Source organism: Homo sapiens, chromosome 7, assembly GCF_000001405.40.
Source record: "Homo sapiens chromosome 7, GRCh38.p14 Primary Assembly".
Taxonomy (NCBI): domain Eukaryota; kingdom Metazoa; phylum Chordata; class Mammalia; order Primates; family Hominidae; genus Homo; species Homo sapiens.
In genome coordinates this window covers 102,458,548-102,483,737 of record NC_000007.14, presented here as the reverse complement: position 1 = coordinate 102,483,737, position 25,190 = coordinate 102,458,548, and the positions used below count along the sequence as shown (strand labels likewise).

At 56.7% G+C, this 25,190-nt stretch overlaps 4 protein-coding genes and 2 non-coding genes across 17 annotated transcripts in view, besides 6 other annotated features; 3 read left to right on the top strand and 3 right to left on the bottom strand.

The window, feature by feature from the left end:
• RASA4B (RAS p21 protein activator 4B) overlaps nt 1–3,762 on the top strand; it is a 37,802-nt gene extending 34,040 nt beyond the window's left edge. For all 6 annotated transcript variants that reach the window (NM_001277335.2, NM_001367767.2, XM_047419681.1 and 3 more), the window contains one exon: nt 25–3,762. In NM_001277335.2, coding sequence (NP_001264264.1) covers nt 25–146 — 122 coding nt within the window. In that variant the 3' untranslated portion in view covers nt 147–3,762. The remainder of the gene's footprint in view (nt 1–24) is intronic.
• Nucleotides 3,763–4,815: 1,053 nt separating this feature from the next.
• POLR2J (RNA polymerase II subunit J) lies at nt 4,816–10,610 on the top strand. Of its 5 annotated transcripts, none has more exons than NR_163857.1 (4): nt 4,816–4,959; nt 7,468–7,557; nt 9,203–9,377; nt 10,054–10,610. NR_163857.1 is itself a non-coding variant. In XM_017012353.2 (4 exons), exons 1-4 carry the CDS (start codon nt 4,878–4,880, stop codon nt 10,087–10,089), a joined length of 351 nt encoding a protein of 116 aa, XP_016867842.1. In that variant the 5' UTR covers nt 4,816–4,877; the 3' UTR covers nt 10,090–10,610. The 5 variants fall into 5 exon arrangements, 4 of the variants coding, with proteins under 4 accessions (XP_016867842.1, NP_006225.1, NP_001358029.1 ...); XM_017012353.2 differs by having other exon boundaries at nt 4,816–4,927; NM_006234.6 differs by having other exon boundaries at nt 4,816–4,930.
• LRWD1 (leucine rich repeats and WD repeat domain containing 1) lies at nt 10,570–18,754 on the bottom strand. 2 transcript variants are annotated; one of them, NM_001317721.2, is made up of 15 exons: nt 18,560–18,754; nt 17,687–17,921; nt 17,468–17,584; nt 16,259–16,399; nt 15,915–16,019; nt 15,551–15,676; nt 15,361–15,475; nt 15,084–15,184; nt 14,676–14,883; nt 14,092–14,164; nt 13,856–13,996; nt 11,429–11,520; nt 11,129–11,284; nt 10,934–11,046; nt 10,570–10,829 (listed from the first exon to the last, which is right to left on the bottom strand). In NM_001317721.2, the coding sequence occupies exons 4-15, from the start codon at nt 16,373–16,375 to the stop codon at nt 10,689–10,691; spliced, it is 1,488 nt and encodes a 495-aa protein (NP_001304650.1). In that variant the 5' UTR covers nt 16,376–16,399; nt 17,468–17,584; nt 17,687–17,921; nt 18,560–18,754; the 3' UTR covers nt 10,570–10,688. The 2 variants fall into 2 exon arrangements, with proteins under 2 accessions (NP_001304650.1, NP_690852.1); NM_152892.3 differs by having other exon boundaries at nt 18,578–18,754.
• On the bottom strand, nt 12,207–12,269 carry MIR4467 (microRNA 4467). The gene has a single exon (NR_039677.1). It is a non-coding gene; the product is annotated as a microRNA 4467 (primary transcript).
• Nucleotides 16,878–16,937: an enhancer, noted in NCBI's record as "active region_26437". NCBI's record gives its function as "activates an Ori minimal core promoter by ATAC-STARR-seq in GM12878 lymphoblastoid cells {active_cell/tissue: GM12878}" and the evidence as "EXISTENCE:reporter gene assay evidence [ECO:0000049][PMID:35858748]".
• Nucleotides 17,301–17,826: an enhancer, noted in NCBI's record as "H3K27ac-H3K4me1 hESC enhancer chr7:102106359-102106884 (GRCh37/hg19 assembly coordinates)". NCBI's record gives its function as "activates a minimal SCP1, AML or CMV promoter by ChIP-STARR-seq in primed H9 embryonic stem cells {active_cell/tissue: H9 hESC(primed)}" and the evidence as "EXISTENCE:reporter gene assay evidence [ECO:0000049][PMID:30033119]".
• Nucleotides 17,827–18,353: an enhancer, noted in NCBI's record as "H3K27ac-H3K4me1 hESC enhancer chr7:102105832-102106358 (GRCh37/hg19 assembly coordinates)". NCBI's record gives its function as "activates a minimal SCP1, AML or CMV promoter by ChIP-STARR-seq in primed H9 embryonic stem cells {active_cell/tissue: H9 hESC(primed)}" and the evidence as "EXISTENCE:reporter gene assay evidence [ECO:0000049][PMID:30033119]".
• Nucleotides 17,912–17,996, bottom strand: MIR5090 (microRNA 5090). The gene has a single exon (NR_049813.1). It is a non-coding gene; the product is annotated as a microRNA 5090 (primary transcript).
• Nucleotides 18,104–18,203: an enhancer, noted in NCBI's record as "active region_26436". NCBI's record gives its function as "activates an Ori minimal core promoter by ATAC-STARR-seq in GM12878 lymphoblastoid cells {active_cell/tissue: GM12878}" and the evidence as "EXISTENCE:reporter gene assay evidence [ECO:0000049][PMID:35858748]".
• Nucleotides 18,483–19,132: an enhancer, noted in NCBI's record as "H3K27ac-H3K4me1 hESC enhancer chr7:102105053-102105702 (GRCh37/hg19 assembly coordinates)". NCBI's record gives its function as "activates a minimal SCP1, AML or CMV promoter by ChIP-STARR-seq in naive and primed H9 embryonic stem cells {active_cell/tissue: H9 hESC(naive and primed)}" and the evidence as "EXISTENCE:reporter gene assay evidence [ECO:0000049][PMID:30033119]".
• Nucleotides 18,544–18,973: a silencer, noted in NCBI's record as "silent region_18506". NCBI's record gives its function as "represses an Ori minimal core promoter by ATAC-STARR-seq in GM12878 lymphoblastoid cells {active_cell/tissue: GM12878}" and the evidence as "EXISTENCE:reporter gene assay evidence [ECO:0000049][PMID:35858748]".
• Nucleotides 18,875–25,190, top strand: part of ALKBH4 (alkB homolog 4, lysine demethylase) — an 8,626-nt gene continuing 2,310 nt past the window's right edge. The window contains exons 1-2 of one of the 2 annotated variants that reach the window (XM_005250464.4): nt 18,875–19,024; nt 24,028–24,134. In XM_005250464.4, the coding sequence (XP_005250521.1) occupies nt 24,033–24,134 (102 nt within the window). In that variant the 5' untranslated portion in view covers nt 18,875–19,024; nt 24,028–24,032. Of the gene's footprint in view, nt 19,025–23,936; nt 24,135–25,190 lie in introns of both variants that reach the window. The other variant, NM_017621.4, reaches the window with a different exon arrangement.

The window sequence follows — 25,190 nt, the reverse complement described above, 5'->3', positions numbered from 1 at the left end:
CCTCACGGCTGCCTCTGCCCACAGTCCCCGAGGACTCATTGGCCCGGCTGCTCCGGGTGCTGCAGGACCTCCGCGAGGCCCATAGCTCCAGCCCGGCCGGCTCCCCACCCTCAGAGCCCAACTGCCTCCTGGAGCTGCAGACGTGAGGCCCGCCCTACGCTCCCCTTGCTGAGTCCCCTGCCAAGCGCTCGGAGCCCCCCCAGGACACTCTGCACCCCCTCACCCCGGTCCTCCTCATTAGGGTGCAGGGCCTAGGTCTCTTCCAGGTGGGGGAGGGGGGAGAGTCAGGAATAAGGGGATCCCCAGAAGTGCAGAGCTGAGCAGGCTTGGGCCTGTCATGGCTGGCCGGAAGTGTCCCCAGCTCCCTACAGACGCTGTAGCCATCACTGCCTCTCCAGGGACCCTCCTCTCCTGCCCAGGACAGACCCAGCCAGAACCACTGCTAGGATGGGCCGCACCCAGGGGTCTGGCCTCCAGGGACCTAGAGAATGGGAGGGAGAACGGGGCCCCAGGAGACCCGGCCGCCACCCCACCCGCTACCCTTGGGTGCCACAGGGCTGTGCTGTTGCCAACAGTAAACCTGCTCTTACTGTCCAGGCTCTGGGGTCTTGTGATGAGGGTCTGGGGAGAAAGTGGGCCCGGGGGGACCCCGGAGGCTGTCGGTGGATGTGCCGATGATGGGGCTGACAGTATGGGCTCTGGGCATCCCTGTTCCCCCCTCTTTCTTCCCCCCACTCTTCTGGGGTCGGGGGTTCCTTTCCCTTCCCAGTTGCTGTCCCTGGGTCCCCTCTTTCATGTCCCACAGGCCACAGAGCCCAGTGTGTCCAACCAGCTGTTCTCTCCTCAAAGCAGCCCCCAAGCAAGTCCCTTCTCTAGGGTGTCCCTGAGGACAGCACAGAGGCGGGACTCAGAGACCCCATTCCTCTTCACGCAGCCCTTACCCCAAGCCCTCTAGCTGTGTGGCTGGCAGTGTTGGCCACGTAGGGGCTCCCATCCCCCCACCATTGTGTCACATGGGCTGCCAGGCTCAGCTCCCAGCTGCGTCCACAGTGACCTGGATCAGGGTGGGGACAAGGACTGGACCCTCCTTCTCCAGAAGGCCTTCAGCTCTTGCCTTGCCATGCAGTCACCTCCTTCCCCCTCTGACCCCAGATCCCAAAGGTGCACCGTTGCCCCAGCCCCTTTCTGGCCCCATGGGGTTTCTCTGATGCCTTCATCATAGAGGCCCGGGGCTGGTCCGATGGTTGGCAAAACTTGACTCCGGCCCAGTCCCCACTCTTGGGGACTTAGAACCCCTGCTGTCCTGGGATCTGGCCTGCCTTTCTTTGGTCAGTCCCTGTGGTCCCCCACCAGCTCCCCCTCCCATAGGGCTGCCCACCAAGCCCTGCCCCCAGCCCAAGAGGAGCCCCCACTGCCTGCGGGGCAGTGATGTCTGGCCACCGGCTCACACCAATGACTTGGTCCTGGGGTGGCAGAAGCAGCAGGTGACAGGAGCAGGGCCCCTGTCCCTCTCTTCTGGCCCTGTGGTACCCAGGCCACACGTTGTGCCCGCTCTTGGGGCTGACCGGCTGCAGGGACCACCAGCCGCTGCTACTGTGGGCCGCCCCGGGGCAGGGTGGGCAGGGCTTTTGTGGGTTATGAGGACACAGAAGTCCCTGAGGCCCCCAGACCTGGCTCAGCCAACCTCCTTCCTCCCCCGGTTGCCCCCCACTCTAAAGCCTCCTCCCTCCCAGCGTCCACTGGCTCCAGGCTCCTCACAACAGCAGCTCATAGACACGGGGCATCTCCAGGTGGTCCTAGCCCTCCAGATGTTTCTAGCTCTCCAGGTGGGCGCTGTTTTCACGTCTGCCTGCATCCATTCATTCCTTCATTCCTCACCTTTATCCTGTTATCTCTATTTTTTTAAGCTACCAGGAAGGAAAGGGAAGAAGAGATCACGAAACTGGGACCCCCAGAAGGGAGGAGTGGGCTTTGAACTTAGACATCTACCTCAGAGCTCAAATAGGTTGTTTAAAATCACATTCAATTTTCAGATGAAGGGGAACTTTATAATTTTTTTTTTTTTTTTTTTTGAGACAGAGTCTCACTGTGTTGCCCAGGCTGGAGTGCAAATGGCTTGATCTTGGTTCACTGCAACCTCTGCCTCCCAGGTTCAAGCAATTCTCTTGCCTCAGCCTCCCGAGTAGCTGGGACTAAAGGCGTGTGCCACCATGCCCAGCTAATTCTTGTATTTTTAGTAGAGACGGAGTTTCTCCATGTTGGCCAGACTGGTCTCGAACTCCTGACCTCAGGTGATCTGACCGCCTTGGCCTCCGAAAGTGCTGAGATTACAGTTGCGAGCCACTGTGCGTGGCCAGAACTTTATAATAAGAGACTTGAAGCTGGGTGTGACGGTGCACACCTCTAGTCCCAGCTACTCGGGAGGCCAAGACAGAAGGATCACCTTGAGGCCAGGAGTTTAAGGCCAGCCTGGGCAACATAGCAAAACCTAGTCCCTAAAATTAAAAAAAAAAAAAAAAAAAAGGGAAAATAAAGGAGACTTGAAATTTTTGAACTAAATAGTGGTGATGGCTACACATTGTGAATGTAATTAACACCACTGAGTTAAACACTTAAAATGGTTAAAATGGCAAATTGTATGTTATACCTATTTTACTACAATAAAAAGTATAAAAAAGAGAAGATATTTAACCAATTGCAACAAAACAAAATGTTAAGAAATGATCTTTTTATGAGGCAATTGGAAATTTGAACACTAATCAACTATAGGATGATTGGAATTATTAATTTTGTAAAGGTGTGATAAGATACTGCACTTGGCTGGGCACAGTGGCACATGCCTGTAATCCCAGCTACTTGGCAGGCTGAGGTGGGAGAATCGCTTGAGCTCAGGAGTTCGAGACCAGCCTGGGCAACGTGGCGAAATCCCCGTCTTTACAAAAACAAACAAACAAACAAAAAAGATATTGCAGTTGTGTTGTAAGCGTCCTTATCTTTCAGAGCTACATAGTGGAATGTTTATGGAATATTTAGGATAAATGATATAGGCATTTGGGATTTGCTGCAAAATGACCCAGAGGCAGGGGTCAGGGGGAGAGGTAGAGATGAGACAAGAGGTAGAGGGGAGAGGTAGAGGTAGCCACGAGCTGATAATTACAGACAAGAGATGCGGAGTATGTGGGGGCTCATTATCCTGCATAGTCTATCTTTGTATATCTTTGAACTTTTCAAGAATAAAAAAGCTTAAAAAGTATACATGGCCTGGTCCTACCAGAGACTCACCCAATGCCAGCCTCCAGCCAGGGAGAGCCAAGTTTGCATTTTCACACGCATCTCACACTCCTCTGCACTCTCAACTTGGAGAGCTCCAAACAGGGAAACCCCAAGCCTTGCTGGCTTCTGCCAACCCCCTGAGCAGAAGCATGGGTCCCCCTGATCACCACCTCACCACCCTCATCCTGATCTCACTGTACACTCCCTTTCCTGGTCTGCTAAGTAGCGGGTGTTTTTCCTTGACACTAACGCTACAGCTAGACCACGGTGGGCTTGGCAACAGGTGTCTTCCCAGATGCTGGCGTTACCGCTAGACCAAGGAGCCCTCTGGTGGCCCTGTCCGGGCATAACAGAAAGCTCGCACTCTTGTCTTCTGGTCACTCCTCATTGTCCCCTCAGCTCCTATCTCTGTATGGCCTGGTGTTTCCTAGGTTATGATTGTAGAGCGAGGATTATTATAATATTGGAATAAAGAATAATTACTACAAACTAATGATTAATGATTCATATATAATCATATCTAAGATCTATATCTAGTATAACTATTCTTATTTTATATATTTTATTATACTGGAACAGCTCGTGCCCTCGGTCTCTTGCCTCGGCACCTGGGTGGCTTGCTGCCCACATCCACCAAGTGCACTTTGGGAGGCTGAGGCTGGAGGACTGCTGGAGGCCAGGAGTTCAATACCAGCCTGGGCAACATAGGGAGACCCCCCCCCCCACCATCTCCAAAAATAAAAAAAAAAAATAGCTAGGTGTGATGGCACATGGCTGCAGTCCTAACTATCGGGAGGCTGAGGCAGGAGGATCTCTGGAGCCCAGGAGTTGGAGGCTGCATGATGGCGCCACTGTACTTCAGCCTGGGCGACAGAGGGAGACGCTGTCTCTAAATAATAATAATAATATATAAAAAGATATACGTAACCCTACGGGCTCCCCTCTCACTGCTGTATACACCTGCCTCCTTCTGCATCCCTCACCCAATTGTCCCTCCCGGCTAACAAGCCAGCTGCACCCCCCAGGCAGAGGTCCTGCAGCAGTCGGTATAGGCAGCCTGGGCAGGGGGCTTGTCATAGATCTGCCTCTGGCCACGAGATCTTCTGCTCCCCCTACGGCTGCTAGCCGCAGCTGTCCACTACCCCTTAGCTTTATTCTCTCTATTCAGGGGCCTCCTGCTGCGCACTCCAAGGGGGTGCACGTTTCCAAAGAAAGATCAAGGGACATGGGGAAAGGAGAAAGGTACAGCTTGAGGTTCCCGCTCAGCCAGGACTAGGAGGCCTCTGTAGGGGCAGAACAGCCCTGCCGGCGCTCTGAGCATGCGCCGAAAAGCGCCCACGGGGAAAGCCATGCCGGGGGGCGGGGTGCGGGGTGGCGGGGGCGGGGGGGGGGGCGGTGCGCTCGCCACTGACGCATGCGCAGAGGCACTGGTCTCTCTCGGGGTTTTCTCGCGCCTGCGCAAGATCCTCCAGCCCAACAGGGGGCGATGAGCCGATCCTTGAGCGGGTTTGCCCCGCCGGAGTAATCCGGAAGAGGCCTCTTATTAGGGCTCTGGTGGCGGCGGCGGCGGACCCTTGGGGTCTGGACGCAACGGCGGCGGGAGCATGAACGCCCCTCCAGCCTTCGAGTCGTTCTTGCTCTTCGAGGGCGAGAAGAAGTAAGTGACGCCGGCTGCGGCGGGCCGAGGTGCGCGGGCCTGCGGCTGTCGCATTCTGGGGTGTCTCCTGCCCATCTCTTGCCCCGGGAGGGAAACAGCTTTTGCTTGATCGTCTGCTCGGCCTGTGTCAGCCAAATTTAAGGCCGTTCCGCGAGGCAGTCGCGAGTGTGTCCATGTTGCAGATGAGGACACTGAGGCTTGGAGGCGAGCAAGTTGCCCCGGACACAGGAAGTGGCGGCGCTTGTATTCGAACCCAGAGTGTCTGGTTCTCCATAGCCCTTTTCCTCTGGGATCTGGCAGCTTCCTCTTTTGTCTCTCGCCCGCCACCTCCATCCTTCATCCCCTCCGATCTGTCAGCGGCCTGCGTAAAAGCCGCAGTGGCTCCTCGCTGCCTGCGGGTTGAAGGAGTCCAGGGGAGAGAGCTTGGGCTCACTCTGTATCTGTGGGCGAGTGGCTTGATCTGTCGGAGGCCCTGTTTCCTCATCTGGAAAATGAGTTTATTACTGTACTTAAACGTGGGATTCAGGCCGGGTGCGGTGGCTGACACCTGTAATCCCAGCACTTTGGGAGCCCGAGGCGGGCGGATCACCTGAGGTCGGGAGTTCAAGACCAGCCTGACCAACATGGAGAAACCCTGTCTCTACTAAAAATACAAAATTAGCCGGGCGTGGTGGCAGATGCCTGTAATCCCAGCTACTCAGAAGGCTGAGGCAGGAGAATCACTTGAACCTGGGAAGTGGAGGTTGAGGTGAGCGGAGATCACGCCATTGCACTCCAGCCTGAGCAACAAGAGCGAAACTCCGTTTCAAAAAACAAAAAAAGGGATCTGGCCAGGTGCGCTGGTTCACGCTTTTAATCCCGGCACTTTGGGAGGCTCAGGTGGGAGGATTGCTTGAGCACAGGAGTTCCAGGCTGCAGTGAGCTTTGATCGCATCACTGCACTCCAGCCTGGGCGACTGAGCGCAATCCTGTGTCAAAATAAAAAGAATTGGATGAGGTAATTTGTGTAAAACTCTTGGTCCAAAGCTCAGCCCCTGGAAAACCTCGTAACCATTGGCTCTTATTGTTCCCAGGTTGGCGTGCAGAGGTCTTGGTCTGGCCCTTGCCAGCCACTTCGGCCTCCTTTAGAGCAGACTCTCAACTGGGGACCATTTGGCCCCACAAGGGACATGTGGCAATAACAGAACATTATTGGTTGTCAAAGGGGGTTATGACTGGAATCTACTGGGTAGAGGTCAGGGATGCTGCTGATGTCCTACAATGTCCACAAGACAGCACCCCACAGGAAAGAATGATGCACCCTAAAATGTGTGTGGTGTCAGCCTGGAGAAACCACCTTAGAAAAAAGGATATTCAACTTGATACCTCTCACCTGTGTGAGATTTTACTGTCAGCATAGTTGCCCTCAAATTGAGTGTGCATTAGAATCACCTGAAGGGCTTCTTAAACCATAGATCCCTGTGCCCCACCTCCAGAGTTCTGGGTCCAGTAAGTGGGAGGTGGGAGACTCTTAACAAGTTCCCAGGGGATTCTGATGCTGCTTATCTGGGAACTGCACTCTGAAAACCCCTTGTCTTGGAAAATCCAATGGAAGTTTCCTGTCTTTGTCCATCTAAGCGTTCACTAAAATCATAGTAAATGCCAGAGCATGACTTGTTTTGGGGAATGGATGGAAGGACTGCACACTCCAGCCAGGGGGATGGTTGCTTTCGGAACTCACAGGGTCAGGACCAGCCTCACCGTGTAACTTCAGGGCCTCTCTTCTTCACCTTTTGGTTGTTTCATTATGTTGGCGTAAGAAAAAAGGAACAGGCCAGGCATGATGACGTGCGCCTGTGGTCCCAGCTACTCAGGAGGCTAAGGCGGGAGGATCACTTTAGCCGAGGAGTTGGAGGCTACAGTGAGCTATGATCACACCACTGCACTCCAGCCTGGGCAGCAGGAGAGATCATTTGAGGCGAGGAGTTCAAGACCAGCGAGGACAACAAGGCAAAACCCCATCTCTACCGGAAAAAAAAAAGGAGGAATTCAGAAAAGGCCAAGGTTCCATAGACCTGGGGTAGCAGGAAGTAGGGGACCGGGTTGGCGAGGCCTTTATGGGATGAAGAGATTGAGAAAGGCCTTCAGGAAGAGGCAGAGCTTATTTTTCCTTTTTATTTTTATATTTTTGATACAGAGTTCCACTCTGTTGCCCAGGCTGGAGTGCAGTGGCATGATCTCGGCTCACTGCAACTCCACCTCCCAGGTTCAAGTGATTCTCCTGCCTCAGTCTCCCAAGTAGCTAGGACTACAGGCATGGATCACCACACTCAGCTAATTTTTTTTTTCTTTGTATTTTTAGTACAGGCAGGGTTTTGCCATGTTGGGCAGGCTGGTCTTGAACTTCTGACCTCAGGTCATCCATCCACCTCAGCCTCCCAAAGTGTTGGGATTACAGGCACGAGCCACCACACCTGGCCGGGAGGAGACAGGGTTTAGACTCAGGGTGGGAGGAGGGGAGCCCCTGCTCCTCATCTGTGGCCTCTGTGTCTTCCTAGGATCACCATTAACAAGGACACCAAGGTACCCAATGCCTGTTTATTCACCATCAACAAAGAAGACCACACACTGGGAAACATCATTAAATCGTAAGTTTCCCGTCACAGGCTCTCAGGGGCTGTGTTTAATGGGCCCCCCTGGGCAAAGCACAAGTTCCAAGTCTTCCTCAGTCTCTCTGAGCTACAGGAAGTCCTTCTGGGGGCTTGCTCTGGGCATTTTATAATCTTGGTACCTTTTTATCAAAATGACACCGACCTCCATGTCTTCACATAAGCCACACTTCTGTAGTGGCTTATTCTGTAGATGAACATGTGCATTTACATTCACTGTTTGTTTGTTTGTTTTTGAGATGGAATTTTCTCTCTTTGTTGCCCAGGCTGGAGTGCAATGGCACGATCTTGCTCACTGCAACCTCCGCCTCCCGGGTTCAAGTGATTCTCCTGCTTCAGCCTTCCTAGTAGCTGGGACTACAGGCCCACGCCACGATGCCCGGCTAATTTTTGTGTTTTTAGTAGAGATGGGGATTCACTGTGTTGGCCAGGCTGGTCTCGAACTCCTGACCTCAGGTGATCCACCTGCCGGCTTCCCAAAGTGCTGGGATTAGAGACGTGAGCTACTGCGCCCGGCCTTACATTCACCATTAAGTGCACATTCTGTAAATGAACGAGCAGCAGATTCCAGCACAGTAGGCCTGTGTGTTATTCATGCTGAGGGGCATTGAAAAGCAGTCAAGATTAGCTCCCCTCATGCCACCCGTTTGTGACCTCAGTGCCACCTGGGCCTCTAAGATGTATGTGGCAGAGACTAGAACTTCTATTTAACAAGAGAAAGAAGTAGGAGTTCTGTGGCTATCCAGTGCCCCTAATGGGCACCCTGCATTGGTTGGTGGGTGTTTGTTTATACCAGTGAGGTCCTAGCCAGGTGGTTGGTCAGGGATGTGTCTGCCATTCTGGCCCAGGGACTTGTCATTTTACTGTAGACTTGGCTCTTCCCTCTGGTGCCACCAGCGAAGCCAGGCTTTTCCCCGTCTGTGAGTGGGGTCTGCCCAGTCTCCTGGTGTGGGCAGGCGCAGGGATGGAGGACTCCTGCCCGGAGCCCAGCCAGTGGGGCACCCAAGCTCTCCTGGGGCCCTGCTGCTCCCCTGCTCTTGAGCTCAGTGTTGCCACCTATGCACGGGTCCCCCTTGTGGTGCTCACGCCACTCTGAGCCGCTCTAGAGGAGACCCCTGCGTGCCCAGGGCACAGTACGCGACGCAGCCCCATGGCACAAGGCCCAGTGTGCGTGGCCAGCCGCTGGCAGCTGTGCTGCTCGGAGGGCAGAGTTCCATTTGCATTCCACTCACTGCCGGCAGCTGGCCCTCCTCTCCTGCTGCCTTTATTTGCTGCGTGGAGGCTCTTTGTGGGCTTTTTGGGTCTGAGTCACTGAACACTGGCTGGACATTCACTGCCTGGGAGATCTCTTTGCCAGCACTGCGGTGCCCGGTGGGAAGAGGTTGCTGGAATCTGTTTCCAGCTCGGGTCCTTCAACCTCATGGATGCAGAGTGTGTGTGTGTGGCGGGGATAGGGTGTCCCCACATGAGGTATCTTCCTAAAAGTGTTACTTTCCTTGAAGACTTTTTGGGAAAAAAGTTGGGGGGGATTTTTGGCTAGAAAGTCTGTTCTTCTGCTCTGAGCTGGCTGCTACCCAGCTTGGGCATGAGGCTAGACCCTCACACTGTCTGTCCCTGACCTCAGACAACTCCTAAAAGACCCGCAAGTGCTATTTGCTGGCTACAAAGTCCCCCACCCCTTGGAGCACAAGATCATCATCCGAGTGCAGACCACGCCGGACTACAGCCCCCAGGAAGCCTTTACCAACGCCATCACCGACCTCATCAGTGAGCTGTCCCTGCTGGAGGAGCGCTTTCGGGTGAGGGCGGGGCCTGGAGGGGCAGACGGGGTGGGCTGGACACTGGCCCGTGTGCCCAGGCCTGGGACAGCCCTGGCCTGTTTCTTCGGAGGTCCTGGGGGAGAGGCGGCAGTGATGGAAGAGCAGGGACTTCCACCACAGGCTCCAGGACATGTGGACTGAGGGGCTGTGGAGTCTGGGCCTGTGGCTCCCGTCTGCCCCATGGGACTTCTGTAGTGCTGCAGGGTCCCTCGGGTGCTGTGGGCCAGATCGGGGCGGGGACCTACTGTCCTTTGGGGGTGCTCTTCTACGTCCCTTGTTGGTGATTGGCAAGGCCTGGTCCTTCCAGGTCTCTGGGAGGCAGCTCACCCCCGGGTGGCCCACACCTGTTCCTGGCAGGGCGCATGGGAATCTAGAACAGTTTAGAGGGGAAAGAGCCACAGCTTGGGGGATTTCAACGTCTGAGTCGTCTGCTCACCAGGAAGCCTCTGGGGCCTCTGACTCCTGCCGGGGCTGCCATAGAGAATGGCTGGATTGGGCCAGCTGGGAGGGCCCTTTGGCTGCTCCACTGTCCTGGGGAGTGTGGCCCATGGCTGCCCTCCAGGAAGGGCCTGGCGGGGGGGATGCTGGGCATGTGTTTCCAGCGTCCTTGCCCCAGCTGTTCCAGCTCAGTCTCCACCACCTTCTTCTCTCCCAGGTGGCCATAAAAGACAAGCAGGAAGGAATTGAGTAGGGGCCAGAGGGGGCTCTGCTCGGCCTGTGAGCCCCGTTCCTACCTGTGCCTGACCCTCCGCTCCAGGTACCACACCGAGGAGAGCGGCCGGTCCCAGCCATGGCCCGCCTTGTGGCCACCCCTCACCCTGACACCGACGTGTCCTGTACATAGATTAGGTTTTATATTCCTAATAAAGTATAGCGGGAGAGACCTGGATGTGGACTTGAGCAGCGGTGACTTCGCAAGCAAATGGATTGTCAGGCTTGATGCAGGCAGATGACCTGTTTCAGGGGCGTCCGGCTGGCAGGGATGAATTCATTCTGGACCAAAGATCCGGGGTCCAGGGGCTGCTGCGGGGGCTGTGCTGAGCCGGAGAGAAGTGTGCAAACCCATGAGCTCCCAAGAGTCTCTGCTCTAGAAGCCTCAACTCCTGGGCCTGCCTGTCAGTCAAAGCAGGAACACTTCTTCCTGCATAACTCGAAACACCTTTCCACAGGCTTCTTGTCCACAGTAGAGTTTAATAAAAATATTCACTGAAAGACCCCCCCCCACCCCCATCGGCCCAAAGCTGAATAAGTTAGTTAGCTGTGTCCCTGGTCCTTTGCGATGGTGTGAGGCTACATCCTCCCCCAGATGGCTACGATGTTGGAGTCCGTCAGGGCGGTGAGGTAGGTGAAGGAGGCATTGGCCACCACTGTGTTCACCATGGTCTTGGTCACCACCTGGCCAAGGGCCCAGGGCTGGGGCCACTTCAGGATCTGGTGGGGAGAGAGGGGAGGGCTGGGCTGGGCTCCTGCTGACCAAAGGCAGGGCCCCTGATGCCTTGCCAGCCCAAGCCTGGGCAGGGTGAGCCGGGCAGTACCTGTGTGGGGGCCTGCAGGGCTGCCGGCAGCAGGGGTGGCTGCTTCAGGATGTTGCTGACGTCGTAGAGCCACACGTTGCCCTCCTCATCCCCACAGAGCACAATCCCCTTATCTGCCGGGACAGAGGTGGAGTCTGAGTGGGGGCAGAGCTCCCGGAAGCCCGCGGGATGGGGCGGGCAGGGGGGCAGGCTCACCAGGGCAGGCGCTGAGCGAGAAGTAGGCCAACTCGGTGGACGACCATTGCAGCCGCGCCAGGACCACCACTGCCACCGTGGACTGGCTGCCCCGGCCCCCCCACGTCTGCCTCCAGCTCCACAGGCAGATGGTGCCCAGGCCGCTCCCCTTGGAGGCTGTGGGGGAGAAGGGAGAGCTGTGCAGGGTGGCCCCTCCCAGACACCTTCTCCCACTAGAGATCCTCAGAAGCCTAGCCCAGGGACAAGCGGTCCATCTGTGTGCCCGGAGGCCAGGCTGTCCCACAAGCTGAGCTCACTCACCCACGATGTCCTCATTCACAAATGCCAGCCCATCCACTCTCCGTCCAGATGCCTCGGAGCCCTCAGAGAAGACGAATTCCACTTCACACACCCTGTGGGGCAGCACGAGATGCTAGTTGGCCATTCCTTGCAGATAGAGAGCTGCCCACTCACCCAGGCATCTGCAGCGCACCTGCTGGGGACCCTGCCCTGTGTGAAGGCTGCACAGAAGATGCCACCAAAGAGATACATTCTTGGCCCCAGGAAGGTTCAGTTTGCCCTGGAAGGGGGAGCCAGCACCTGAGTGTCCCGAGTCACAGTAGTGACCCAGAGGCACGAGGGGTGGCTCTTCCAGGACGGGGCTAGGCCAGGGGGTTGGATAAGGCTCTGAAGCGAGCCAGTGCCTCTGGGACCGAGTGTGAGATGAACAGGGGCCTCCTGGCAGCCAAGTAGAGCAGGTGTTTCCAGGCCATGGCCCAGGGGGCTGTTGGGGGCATCTGCTCTGACTCAAAAGACGGGGGAATGGGGGGCCATGGCCCAGGGGGCTGTTGGGGGCATCTGCTCTGACTCAAAAGACGGGGGAATGGGGGAATGAGGGAATGGCTGCTGCATGGTTCAGAGCTGAGAGTGTGTGGGAGTGTCTGCTTGGAGAAGTGTCCCGGCAGCTACCTGACTCTCGGAGGCTAGCCTGGAGCCAGGAGAGTGGCCCAGCAGCTAACCATGGGCCAGGCCTGAGCCAGTTGGGCAGAGGGTAAGAGAAGAAGCATCTTAGACACAGGGACCAGACATACGGGCAGGGAGGGAGGCGGCGGCCCAGGGGCTGCTGGTGAGAAAGAGAAGCCCATAACTACCGCCGCCACCACCTCTGCCGCCAAGGCCCCTGCTGCTCCTTTCAACACAGCAGCTGCTGTGTCGAAGCTCCTCCTGGGCTGTTTGTTGTAGGTAAGCTAAAAATCCAAATCTTGGCCCAGGGCAGTGGCTCACACCTGTAATCCCAGCACTTTGGGAGGCTGAGGTGGGTGGATCACCTGAAGTCAGGAGCTCGAGACCAGCCTGGCCAACACGGTGAAACCCCGTCTCTATTAAAAAGACAAAAGTCAGCTGGGTGCAATGGCTCACATCTGTAATCCTGGCACTTTGGGAGGCTGAGGCGGGTGGATCACCTGAGGTCAGGAGTTCGAGACCAGCCTGGCCAACATGGTGAAACCCCATCTCTATTAAAATACAAAAATAAGCCAGGCGTGTTGGCGTGCACCTGTAATTCCAGCTACTTGGGAGGCTGAGGCAGAAGAATTGCTTGAACCCGGTGGGGGGGTGGAAATTGCAGTGAGCCGAGATCGTGTCATTGCACTCCAGCCTGGGCAACAAGAGTGAAACTCCATCTCAAAGAAAAGAAAATTAGCCGGGCATGGTGGCGTGCGCCTGTAATCCCAGCTACTCGGGAGGCTGAGGCAGGAGGATCACTTGGAACCTGGCGGCAGAGGTTGCAGTGAGCCGAGATCGAGCCACTGTACTCCAGCCTGGGTGACAAGAGGGAGACTCTATCTCAAATAAAAAGTAAATAAATAGAAATGCAAAGCTTACCGTGGCTGACGAAGCCCGGCGTGCCCCGCCCAGGCACCCTTGCCACCTTGTTCTGGGCTGGGTCCACCCAGCTGTGGCCACATGGTGGAGCAGGCCAGCTGGCTCCCCTGCCACTGACCTTTGCACGTACCATTTCCTCCATGCAAGCACCTCCCCACCCTCCGCCCGCTGACTCCCTCACCAGGCTCCCAGGGAGGAAAGCGTGAGCCCCAGAATATCCATCTGCCGCTGGTCACCTCAGCAGAGTCCCCTGAGGCCCCCACGCTAGTGTCCCTCTGCCCGTTACTCTTTTTCCGTCTCCTTCGTAGCTGGCATCACACTGTGGGATTTTGATTGGCCACCTTTGCTGAGCATCTGTCTTCCCCAGTAGGCTGGGGGCCCCAAGAGGACAGGGACCCCTTGCCAAGCCCTGTCTCAGAGGCCTTCCAGGTGGGACAGATGAGCCAGAAAGCCTCAACGTGGCACTTCCAAAGCCTGCCTGCCCAGACACCACCTCACCTGCCCTCCGCTAGCCATCGGCCCCTCTTTACAGATGAGGACATTATGCCAGCACAGAGGACCATCACACTGCTGATGAGTGGCAGGAGTGGGCTGGATCACGTGGGCACAGCATGGTGCTGAAGCCCCAGGTGAAGGGGAGGTCATCATGGCCCAGTCCCACAGCTGAACCCAGGGTGAGAGCAGGGTCAGAGTCCTTTCCTCCAGAGCCTGGCAGAAAGGTGGGACAAGCCAGCTCTGCGAAGAGGCCTCTAAAAACAACCCTTATGGTTACCCGGGTGTGCCCAGGCTGCTGTGAGCCCATCTGGGCCAACAGCCACCCTCTGCAGAGGCCTGGCTTCCAAGGCGCCCCCTGCCCAGCCTCACCTCCTCTTTTGGGGCTGGTCCAGCCGCACGTCCCAGCAGCAGCAGCCGCCCTCGCAGCCGGCCAGCAGGCGGGCGTCCGGGCAGGAGGCGACAGGGCAGAGGCGCAGGGGGATAGAGGTGGTGTCCAGTGTGAGCAGCTGGCTGCCAGTGGGCAAGGGGGAACAGAGCATCAGACCCAGACCGAGGTGTCCCTGCCCCAGCAGCTGGCCACTCCCCAGCCTCACCCGAAGCATCACCTGGCCTGGAATTCGTAGTCCTGGTTGGGCACCCCGATGTCCCAGAGGATGATCCGCTTGTCATAGGAGGCCGCTGAAGAGGGGGTGGGGTAGGGGAGAAGTGGCCCTGAGATGACCCTGCTCCCTCCTGCTGGCTGCATCCCAGGCTGAGCCCACGGTCCCAAGGCCAGCCCCTCCGAGGCGGGGAGGGCGGGCCGAGGCTAGGAGACAGGAACACTCCTGGGCCCCCAATCCCTGTTTCCTCCATCTAACCTGATGCGGTGGCTCCAGCGGCCACTTCCTGTGGCTCATCCATCCCCCTTGACAGGGGCGCCACACCCGGGGGCAGGGGCATCCCCCCAGGTCACTGACAGGGGACAGAGTGGCCCAGGCTGTTGGAAAACTCCGAGGCCACAGAGCAGGCTGTGGATAAAGCCAGGGTTGAAGCGACATGGCTTCCTGCCAAAGCTAGAGTCGGAGCGGTGCAGACTGGGGCCCGGCAGGCGCCCGAGCTCACAGCCATCCCAGGGAGGGGAGCGTGGAGGCTACTGGGGCAGCAGGACAGGGGTGCTTGGGGGTCCCAGGGGTGAAGGGGAGGGGCTTACTGAAGAGATGGGTCTCGTGGGCGGGGCTGAAGCACAGGGTGGCGATGGCCTTCTTGTGGGCTCGGATGACCCCGCAGCAGAAGCCGGCACGCACGTGCAGCAGCCGGACCAGGCCCCGTAGGCCTGCAGCCGCCAGCACACTCCAGCGCTTCTTGTGGCCAGCCTGTGTGACCACCATCAGAGCGGTCCAGGCCACAGAAAAGAACTCCTGGGCGGGGGTTAGAGTAAACAGTCACTGGGGCAGAGCTATTGGTGTGAACACGCGGGTAGCCCGGGCCTGGGGGAGGGAGCCCCAGCATGAAAGAAAAAGGCCATGGGGCAGGGGGCCGAGCCTGCATCCATCCCCATGCTGCTGTTCAGGAGTCAGTCGGGCACCCTTGCCCAGCAGGGACAGGGCCTTGCACTCACCTCGCCGGGTGCCTTGTACTTGTGGAGCACGATGCCCGTCTGGCAATCAATTACGCACACAGCCTCCCCGCCGCACGTGGCCACGGTCTGGGATGTGGCCCCTGAGTGCCCGGTTTTGAGAGGTCGGATGAGCAGAGACATTTCCCATCTAGGTCCTCCCTGCAGCCTCCTCCTCCCAGCCTTGATGGCGCCTTTTAAGCTCTGTCTCCTGATCCCCCACCCATCCAGGCGGCCCTATTTCCAGCGGCCCTTGCCCCGCCTGCCCGCCACCATGTACCCTCCTCCCAGGCCGGCTCGAAGGCACAGGCCCACAGCTGGGTCTCGAGGTCCTGGGGGCTGTTGTTCTTGCTGTGGCACTGCAGGAAGTGCAGGGGCTCCAGCTTCACAGCAGGCTGTGGGGGGAGAGAAGGGTCACAGCTGCCCAGCCCCGACTCATCTGCCACCTGCTCCTTGCCACCTCAGCTCACCTGGCTGCCATCGGAGCCTGCCACAGGGCTGCCCTCCACCTGGGCCGACGGGGAGGCACACGCCCGCTTGCTGGGAGAGAGGCTGAGTGGGACGTCGTCTGGCCGTTTCAAGGCCGCCAGTCTGGCCTGTGGAGGGGGCCTTGTGACCATGGGCCTGTCTGCCTGGGGCTTCCTTCCTCCCCATCACAGGCTGGACCCCACCTCACTGCGGATGCAGGAGGCCCAGGCTGGCCCGGGGTCACCTAGGGAGTGAGCCAGGACCTGGGGTGCTTCCTGGGCACATGCCCAGGACGCCTTGGTCTCCTGAAGCTTCTCCAGGGAGGAGGGACTGGGCTGGCCTCAGAGCCCTGGGAGCTGCACTCACCCTGGGCTTGTGGGCAGCTCCAGCTTCTGGGGGCTTCTCTGGGCTGTTAGCCTTTTGCACCTGGGTCCTACTGGCGGCCACCAGCTCCTCAGAGATCATCCGCACCTGGGTGGGGCCAGGCCATCAGGAAGCTGGGCAGAGTCCCAGGTGCCCCCAGCCCTGCCGATGCATAGTCAGGGGGAGCTTATGCTTCCAGAGTTGGGGAAGGGCCTCTCCAGCCAACAGGGCTGCCCACCCTGACTCACCCCACTCCCACAGCCCCTCAGCCCTTCATGGCCAGGGACCTCCAGGCAGCTAGAGATACGAGAGCCAGTGACTCCCTGCACATTGGGACAGGGACATACCCGCCACTGGGTGAACTCGCTGAGGGACTCGGGCCCGTAGCGGACATCCCTGACAGCCGACTTCACAAAGTCCGCCTGGGCCTTCTCAGCCTCCTCTTCAGGACCCAGTGTGGCCATGAACTTCTCCCAGTGAGCTGTGACCTGGTGCAAGAGGGACCAGATCCAGGCCCGGCCCACCCCAGCTCCTCCGGACCCAGCCCTCCATCTCAGGGAATCTCAATCCCGCCACCTGCTGGAAGCCTCCTGGAATCACAGCCTCATAAAACACACACACACACACACACACACACACACACACACACACACACCCCACACACACCCCAGCAACAACCCAGGTGCCTACACACACACACACACACACCCCAGCAACAACCCAGGTGCCTACACACACACACACACACACACACACCAGCAACAACCCAGGTGCCTATAGTCCCAGCCACTGGGAGGCTGAGGAAGAAGCATCGCTTGAGGCCAGGAGTTGGAGCCTGGGGAACAGAGCAAGATCCCATCTCTACAAAAAATTTTAAAATGATCCAGACGTGGTGGCATGCGCCTAAAGCCCCAGCTATTCAGAAGGCTAAGGCGGGAAGATCGCTTGAGCCCAGGAGTTGGAGGCTGCAGTGAGATACGATCACACCACTGCACTTCAACATGGGCAGCAGAGCGAGACCCTGTCTCTAAAAAAAAAAAAAAAAAAAAAAAAAAAAAAAAAAAAAGGTAAAAAAGAAACACCCCAGAAAAAGCTACTTAGAAGAGTCAGGCCGGGTGTGGTGACTCATACCTGTAATCCCGACACTTTGGGAGGCCAAGGCGGGCAGATCACCTAAGGCCAGGAGTTTGAGGCCAGCCTGGCCAACATGGTGAAACCCTGTCTCTACTAAAAATACAAAAAAAATTAGCTGGGCATGGTGGCAGGTGCTTGTAATCCTAGTTACTCGGGAGGCTGAGGCAGGAAAATCACTTGAACCTGGGAGGCAGAGGTTGCAATGAGCCAAGATCGCATCACTGCACTCCAGCCTGGGCGACGGAGTGAGACTCCATCTCAAAAAATAAATAAATAAATAAAGTAGCACATCAGGCTAGGGGCTGTTGGGGCAAAGAGCCTCTATCAGTCACCCTCCTCAACATCCTCCTGATGTCCAATTCTATCATTCTCCCAATGCCCCCACAGCTCCTAAGCACACAATAATCCTCTCATCCCCTTACCCTGCTGGTCAGCTCCCGATTCAGGTTCTCCACCTGAGAGTAAGTTGAGGACGCATCCTTGCCATTGACCTTACGGAGCGTGGGCAGGAGAAAGGAGACTTTCAGGTTGTCATTGACCTGGGGAAGAGAGGGTGAAGAGCAGTGGCTCAGGAGATGCTGAGCCTGAGCCCAACAGAGTCCTGGCCCCAGGTATGAAGCTGGTGGGAGGCTCCCACTTACCGTCAGGAAGGGGTTGCCCTCCAGGCTGAGTTCCTCGAGCTTGGGGAACTGGCACAAGGCAGTAACATCCCCCAGCTGGTTGTTGGCGCAGCGGAGGACACGCAGGTGGGACAGGCCCAGGTTGTCCGGCAGCGTCTCCAGGTGGTTGTTAGACAGGTCAAGCTCCTGCAGCTGCGTCAGGCGGCACAGGAGTTTGGGGTCCAGGTGCTCGGAAAGCAGCTCCAATCCTGACAGGCTGGAGTTGGGGGCAGAAGGCTTAGGGGGCGGGCAGGCTTTGCACCCTACACCAATCTGCCCCGGGTACCTCAGAAGGCTTTTTCACCTGACATTTCTCGTACAAGTGTAGCCGCCCCGCCCATCCCCCCGTTACTTTATTTTTAGAGACGGGGTGTCACTCAGTCGCCTAGGCGCGATCATAGCTCACAGCTGCCTCCAACTCCTGGGCTGAGGGATCCTCCCGCCTCAGCCTCTCGAGTAGCTGGGACTAGAAGCGCGCGCCACTACTCCCGACTCCACACCACTTAACAAAAAAAAAAAAAAAAAAAAAAAAAAAAAAAAAAAAGCTGCAACTACTTTAGGACTCGGGGGCATCCTAGCCCCCTCTAGGATGCTCTTCCTGATCCTTCGGGGGCTCGTCTGTGCTTCCCAGGCCCTCTAACGATAGCGGCAGGCTGTGCCCCTAACTGTCCGGGCTCCCTTCAGGGGATGAGGCCCCTCGGGGCTCCCGGCGAGCGGGTGGGGCCACGATCTCCCAACAAGAAGACATTTGGACCACTCTGCCGAACCCAGAGGGCGATAACGGGGACAAGCGGGCCGTTGGGGAGGGTCCCCGCTCTTCTCCCCGACCGCCCGGCCCCGAGGACACAGCCTCACCCGCTGCCCGGCTCTTACTCCAGACTCCGGATCTTCCCCAGCCGGTCGCTCTTGGGGCGCCCGCGCTGCATTAGCAGCCGCGCCGAGAGGGGGCCCATGGCGAGGAGGCGCAGCCCGCGCTGACCCAGTCGGCCACCCCGGCGTGTGGCGTCGCCCTGCGTCTCCTGGAGCCCGGCACTGGCGTCCGCGGTAACTGAGCCCAGGAGGCGGCGCCGCGCGAGCCCGTGGGCGTTAACGACCGGAAGGAAGCGGAACCCAGGCCTCGTGCCCCCGCCCGGCGCGGACTACAACTCCCAGCGGCCCCCACGGCCGCGCCTGCGCACTGGCCACGCGGACGGCGCGATGGCGGCGGCTGCCGCCGAGACCCCCGAAGTCCTTCGGGAATGCGGTTGCAAGGGCATCCGGACCTGTCTGATCTGCGAGCGGCAGCGCGGCAGTGACCCGCCCTGGGAGCTGCCCCCAGCGGTAAGGGGTGGGAGAGGGGCCGCGCCCACAAACGTCGCTCTGCATCTGGGGAAACTGAGGTCCAGCTTGGCCATGATAGGGGCCGGGATCGAAGCCTGTGAGGGACCCTTACGGTAGGGGTGATGCAGGGTGAGGAGATGAGGGCTTTAAGGAGCGGGCTTGGGAGTGGGGAAGGAGCTGGAACGTGGGTGGGTTCGATTACAGGTCACCTCGGGGACTCTGGGGGGATCTGCCTGTAAACCTCGACGTAGCCTCTCGGGTCTGGCGCTGGGAGCTTCACGGGCCTGCAGGGAGATGACACGGAAAGGGTCGATCGAGGGTGCTGAATACCAGTCCAACGGTGCCTGAAGGCCGTGGACTGCAATGGGCAAGGAGACAGTGAATTCCAGTTAACTAACGAAAAGGAACTCAAGGATCGCTGCAACCCAGGAGCTGGAGGCTGCAGTGAGCTATGATCGAGCCACCTCACTTCAGCCTGGGCGACAGAGCGAGACTCTGTCTCACAAAAAGAAAATAAATAAAAAAAGAAAAAGAACTCAGCGCCTTTGGGCTGGCATGGAAGGACTGTGGTTGGTTGCAAGGGCATTCCAACCCAGAAAACTGCGTGGGGTAGGAAGGTGGATTGGTGATGCCTCAGGTGAGAGAGATGAGGCTGGAGAGGTTGTGGGGGGGGGGAGGTCTGATCACAGATGCTCCCCGGTGCATCAGCTGAGCAGGCTGGACTTGTCCCAAAGGCCCTGGAGAGCTCTTGAAGGGTTTTAAAGGAGTGATGAAGTCAAATGTGAATTTTAGAAAGATCCTGGGAAGGGAACGGGCAGATATGAAGGTGTGGAGGCTGGTAAGCCAGTGAAGACTGCCCCAACGTCCATGGTAAAAGTGCCCAAGGTCCTATGGAAACAGCATGGCATGCCTCATGAATTAAACATAGAATTACCCATGATCCGCAATCCTGCTTCTGGGTATATATCCAAAGGAACTAAAAGCAGGGTCTGGAAGAGATATTTGCACACCCATGTTCATATTCACGACATTATTCATGACAGCCCAAAGATGGAAGCAAACCAAGCATCTATCAAGATACCTGGGCCGGGTTCAGTGGCTCACGCCTGTAATCCCAGCACTTTGGGAGGCTGAGGTGGGCAGATCACCTGAGGTCAGGAGTTTGAGACCTGCCTGGCTAACATGGCGAAACCCTGCCTCTACTAAAATTACAAAAACTTGCCGGGCTTGGTGAGGCACATCTGTAATCCCAGCTACTCGGGAGGCTGAGGCAGGAGAATCGCTTGAACCCAGGAGGCAGAGGTTGCAGTGAGCCAAGATCGCACCACTGCACTCCAGCTCAGGTGACAGAGCAAGACTCCTTCTCAAAAAAAAAAAAAAAAAAAAAAAAAGAGATGACTTGATCCACAAAATGTGGTGCATACACATAGTAGAATACTATTCAGCCTTAAAAAGGAAGGACAGGCCGGGCACAGTGGCTCACACCTGTAATTCCAGCACTTTGGGAGACCGAGGCAGGCAGATTGCCAGAGCCCAGGAGTTTGAGACCAGCATGGGCAACATGGTGAAATCCCACCTCTACAAAAAAATTAACCATACATGGTGACACGTACCTGTAGTCCCAGCTACCCAGGAGGCTGAGGTGGGAGGGTTGCTTGAGCCTGGGAGGTCAAGGCTGCAGTGAGCTGTGATCACGCCACTGCACTCCAGCTTGGGCAACATAGTGAGACCCTGTCTCAAAAAAAAAAAAAAAAAAAAGGACATTTTGACATATGTTACAGCATGGACGAACCTTGGGGACACGATGCTAAGTTAAGGAAGCAGTCACAGAAGACAAATACTGCATGATTCCTGTTGTGTGAGCTACGTAGGGTAGTCACAGGGACAGAAAGTAGAAGGGTTGTTGCCAAGGGCTCAGGAAGGGGAGATGGGGACCTGTTGTTTAATAGGGAAAGAGTTTCAGTTTTGCAAGATGAAAAAGTTCTGAATGGTGGTGACGGCTGTACAACAATATGAATGAACTTAAGAGTTTTAATTTGTGGAAGGGGCCAGGTGCGGTGGCTCATGCCTATAATCCCAGCCCTTTGGGAGGCTGAGGCAGGAGGCTCGCCTGAGTCTAGGAGTTTGAGACCAGCTTGGACAACATAGCAAGACCCTGTCTCTACAAAAAATTTAAAAATTAGCTAGGTGTGGTGGTGTGTGCTTGTAGTCCCAGTTACTTGGGAGGCTGAGGTGGGAGGATTGCCTGAGCCCAGGAGGTCAAGGCTGCAGTGAGCTGTGAGCGCCACTACACTCCAGCCTGAGTGACAGAGCGAGACCCTGCCTCAAACAAAAAAAAAGAAAAGAAAAAAATTGCGGAAAGTCTGACCCGTTCCAGTGGCCATGTGGAGGTGACATCTTCCCAACCCGATGGCTATGGAACAAGGAGAGTGAGGTATCCAGGATCTCAGGGCACTGGGGCAGTTCCTCACTGGCTTTCCAGCCTCCACCCTTCATATCTGCCCCTCCCCCCTCCAGATCTTTCTAAAATTCACATTTGACCTCGTCACTCCTTTAAAACCCTTCAAGAGCGCTCCATGGCCTTTCGGACAAGTCCAGCCTGCTCAGCCGACACACGGGGGACTCCCAGTTTTAATGTTTCCCGTGGGAGGGCCCCAGGAGCAGGAGGAGATAGTGCCAATCTCAGGAGGGGTCTGAGCTGGAGTCGGTGGCTGGAAGTAAAGCATTGGAAGGGGCTGAGGTCCCTGGAGGGAAGAACAGAGAAAGACAGCGGCCCACAGTGAGTGGCAGCCCAGGGTGTGAGGAGCCTGGAGATGGAAGAGGAAGAGGAGACAGGCCACAGAGCCCAGGGCTGAGTTCTGGTGGCCTCCGAAGTCCTCACTGGGTGACTCCGGCCAGAACCTCCACACCTCCTGCCCATGATAGTTATGGTACCTTCCTCTTGGGGCTGTCCTGGGGATGAAACTAGATAATCCATGTAAAATGTTCAGTGCCACAGATGCAAATACTGGCTATTTCATTGGCGAAACTCTTTTTTAAAAATTTACTATTGGCTGGGCATGGTGGTTCACGCCTGTAATCCCAGCACTTTGGGAGGCCAAGGCGGGAGGATCACAAGGTCAGGAGTTCAAGACCATCCTGGTCAACATGGTGAAACCTCGTCTCTACTAAAATACAAGAAAAAAATTAGCTGGGCATGGTGGCGCGCACCTGTAGTCCCAGCTACTCGGGAGGTTGAGGCAGGAGAATCGCTTGAACCCAGGAGGTAGAGGTTGCAGTGAGCCGAGATCGTGCCACTGCACTCCAGTTCTGGTGACAGAGCGAGACTCCATCTCAAACAAACAAACAAACAAACAAAAAGTATTATTATTATTTTCAAGATGGGGTCTCACTGTGTCACCCAGGCTGGTGTCCACTAGCACGATCTTGGCTCACTGCAATCTCCACCTCCCGGGTTCAAGGGATTCTCCTGCCTCAGCCACCTGAGTAGCTGGGATTACAGGCATGCACCACGACGCCCGGCTAGTTTTTGTATTTTTAATAGAGACGGGGTTTTGCCATGTTGGCCAGGCTGGTCTTGAACTCCTGACCCCAGGTGATCAGTCCACCTTGGCCTCCCAAAGTGTTGGGATTACAGGTGTGAGCCACCGTGCCTGGCCTGGTTTCTAGACTTTCTTTAGCATGGGGGAACCCTTAGAGTACCGCCAGGCCTCGGGGTTGGTGGCAGAGCAGAGAGGGACATGGGGTGGGAGTTGAGTGACAGCCCAGGGTATGAGGATTGAGGGGTGATGCTGGGTCTGGAAAGGTGCCCTGAGGACAAGAGTGAGGAGAAGGGAGGTTGGGACACTGAGGAGCTCAACTGAACGCTCAGCTCTGTAGGGAAGTTGGCTGCCCTCCTAGGTGACCCTCACGCTGGTGATAGGCACGGGCCAACCCCTGGGACACCGGGGTGGCATCAGCAAAGACCTAAAGAGATTAGGGTGCACAGATTCAAGGTAGTCAGGCAGTTTGGGGCCTCCTGGAAGCAGCTGAGGAGATGGGAGTGCAGGAGGTGCTGTCCAGCCTCGGGCTGGTTCCTTAACTTTGCTGAGCCTCCTTTGTAAAATGGAGAAGGAAAAACATGTTGTACAAACCCTTCTCTTTTACAGGGGAGGAAAGTGAGAAAGGAAACCAATCAAATTCGTGTTAGCTCAAGAGGGCTGCGGGCCTTCCCCGGTCAGCCTGGGGCAGAGGCTCTGCCTGCACCTCCCCCTAGACTCCAGCTGCCTTCCACAGTGTCCTGAGGGGAGGAATGAGCCATCAGAGGGTCTCCTGAGGGCACACAAGTGCCAGGGGCTGCCATGGCTCCAGGATGTGTCTTTCCTTTTTTTTTTTTCTTTTTTTTTTTTTGAGACAGGGTCTTGCTTTGTTGTCCAGGCTGGAGTGCAGTAGCGCGACCATGGCTCACTGTAGCCTCAACCTCCTGGGCTCAAATGATCCTCCCGCCTCAGCCTCCTGAGTAGCTGAAATGACAAGTGCGCTCTGCCACACCCGGCTAATTTTTATTTAAACTTTTTTTTTTTTTTTGAGTCTCACTCTGTCGCCCAGGCTGGAGTGCAGTGGTGCCATCTTGGCTCACTGCAACCTCTGCCTTCTGGGTTTAAGCAATTCTCCAGCTTCAGCCTCCTGAGTAGCTGGGATTACAGGCACCTGCCACCATGCCTGGCTAATTTTTGTATTTTTAGTAGAGATGGGGTTTCACCATGTTGGCCAGGCTGGTCTTGAACTCCTGACCTCAGGTGATCCACCCACCTCGGCCTCCCAAAGTGCTGGAATTACAGGCGTGAGCCACCGCACCTGGCCTGTTTTAACTTTTCGTAGGGACCGGGTCTCGCTGTGTTGCCCAGCCTGTGGACTTGTGTTTCTTTTGCAGAAAACATACCGTTTCATTTACTGCTCCGACACCGGCTGGGCCGTGGGCACAGAGGAGTCTGACTTTGAGGGCTGGGCCTTCCCCTTCCCAGGAGTGATGCTGATCGAGGACTTTGTGACCCGGGAGGAAGAAGCCGAGTTGGTGCGGCTCATGGACCGTGACCCCTGGAAGCTCTCCCAGTCTGGACGGAGGAAGCAGGTAGACCGGCCCTGAGCTCATGGGGGTTGCTGGGCTGCGCTGAGGAGACAGCCCTACTGCTGGGGGCCATCCCCCTCCTTGCAGCCACACCCCTCAAACCTCCAGGGTTGGTAGTGGGCGAGTTCCCCAGACCTTGGGGCTGTGGGCAGCCAGACTCGCTGCAGGACGTGTGTCCGATGGGCAGAGGTGCACCTGGGCACCCCATCTCCCTGTGATATGCGCTCCTGGGCTCTCTGCCCCTCTGTAGCTGGCTTGGTGGTGGTGAAGGCACCCCATTCTCCCAAGCTGCAGGCGCCCCCACCTCCCATTGTCACCATCCGTGTCCTGTCTCCTCACACGCATTCCCACCTTCCCCCTCCCCGGGCCCGCCGCTCCCTCCAACTCCTTCCCCACCTGTGTCCAAACATCCCCGGGTGCCCCCTCTCCCTTCATTGTAGGTTTTTTTTTTTTTTTTTTTTGAGACAGAGTCTCGCTCTGCCACCCAGGCTGGAGTACAGTGGCATGACCTGAACTCACTGCAACCTCTGCTTCCCGGGTTCAAGCCATTCTTCTGGCTCAGCCTCCCAAGTAGCTGGGACTACAGGTGCCCACCACCATGCCCAGCTAATTCTTGTACTGTTAGTGGAGACGGGGTTTCACCATGTTGACCAGGCTGGTCTCGAACTCCTGACAAGTGATCCGCCCGCCTCAGCCTCCCAAAGTGCTGGGATTACAGGCGTGAGCCACCGCGCCCAGCCCCATTCTTTTGTGACATCCTGTTGGATGTTGGTACATTTCATTTCCTCATTCATCTGTCGATGGACATTGGCGTTGTTGTCACTTTTTGGCTGTTGTGAACATTTGTGTACAGGTTTTTTTTTTTTTTTTGAGACAGGGTCTCGCTCTGTCGCCCAGACTGGAGTGCAATATGTGATATTGGCTCACCGCAGCCTTGACCCCCCAGGCTCTAGCGATCCTCCTACCTCAGCCTCCTGAGTAGCTGAAACTAAGGCATGTGCCACCAAGCCCAGATAATTATTATTATTATTATTTTGAGACAGGGTGTCTCATTCTGTC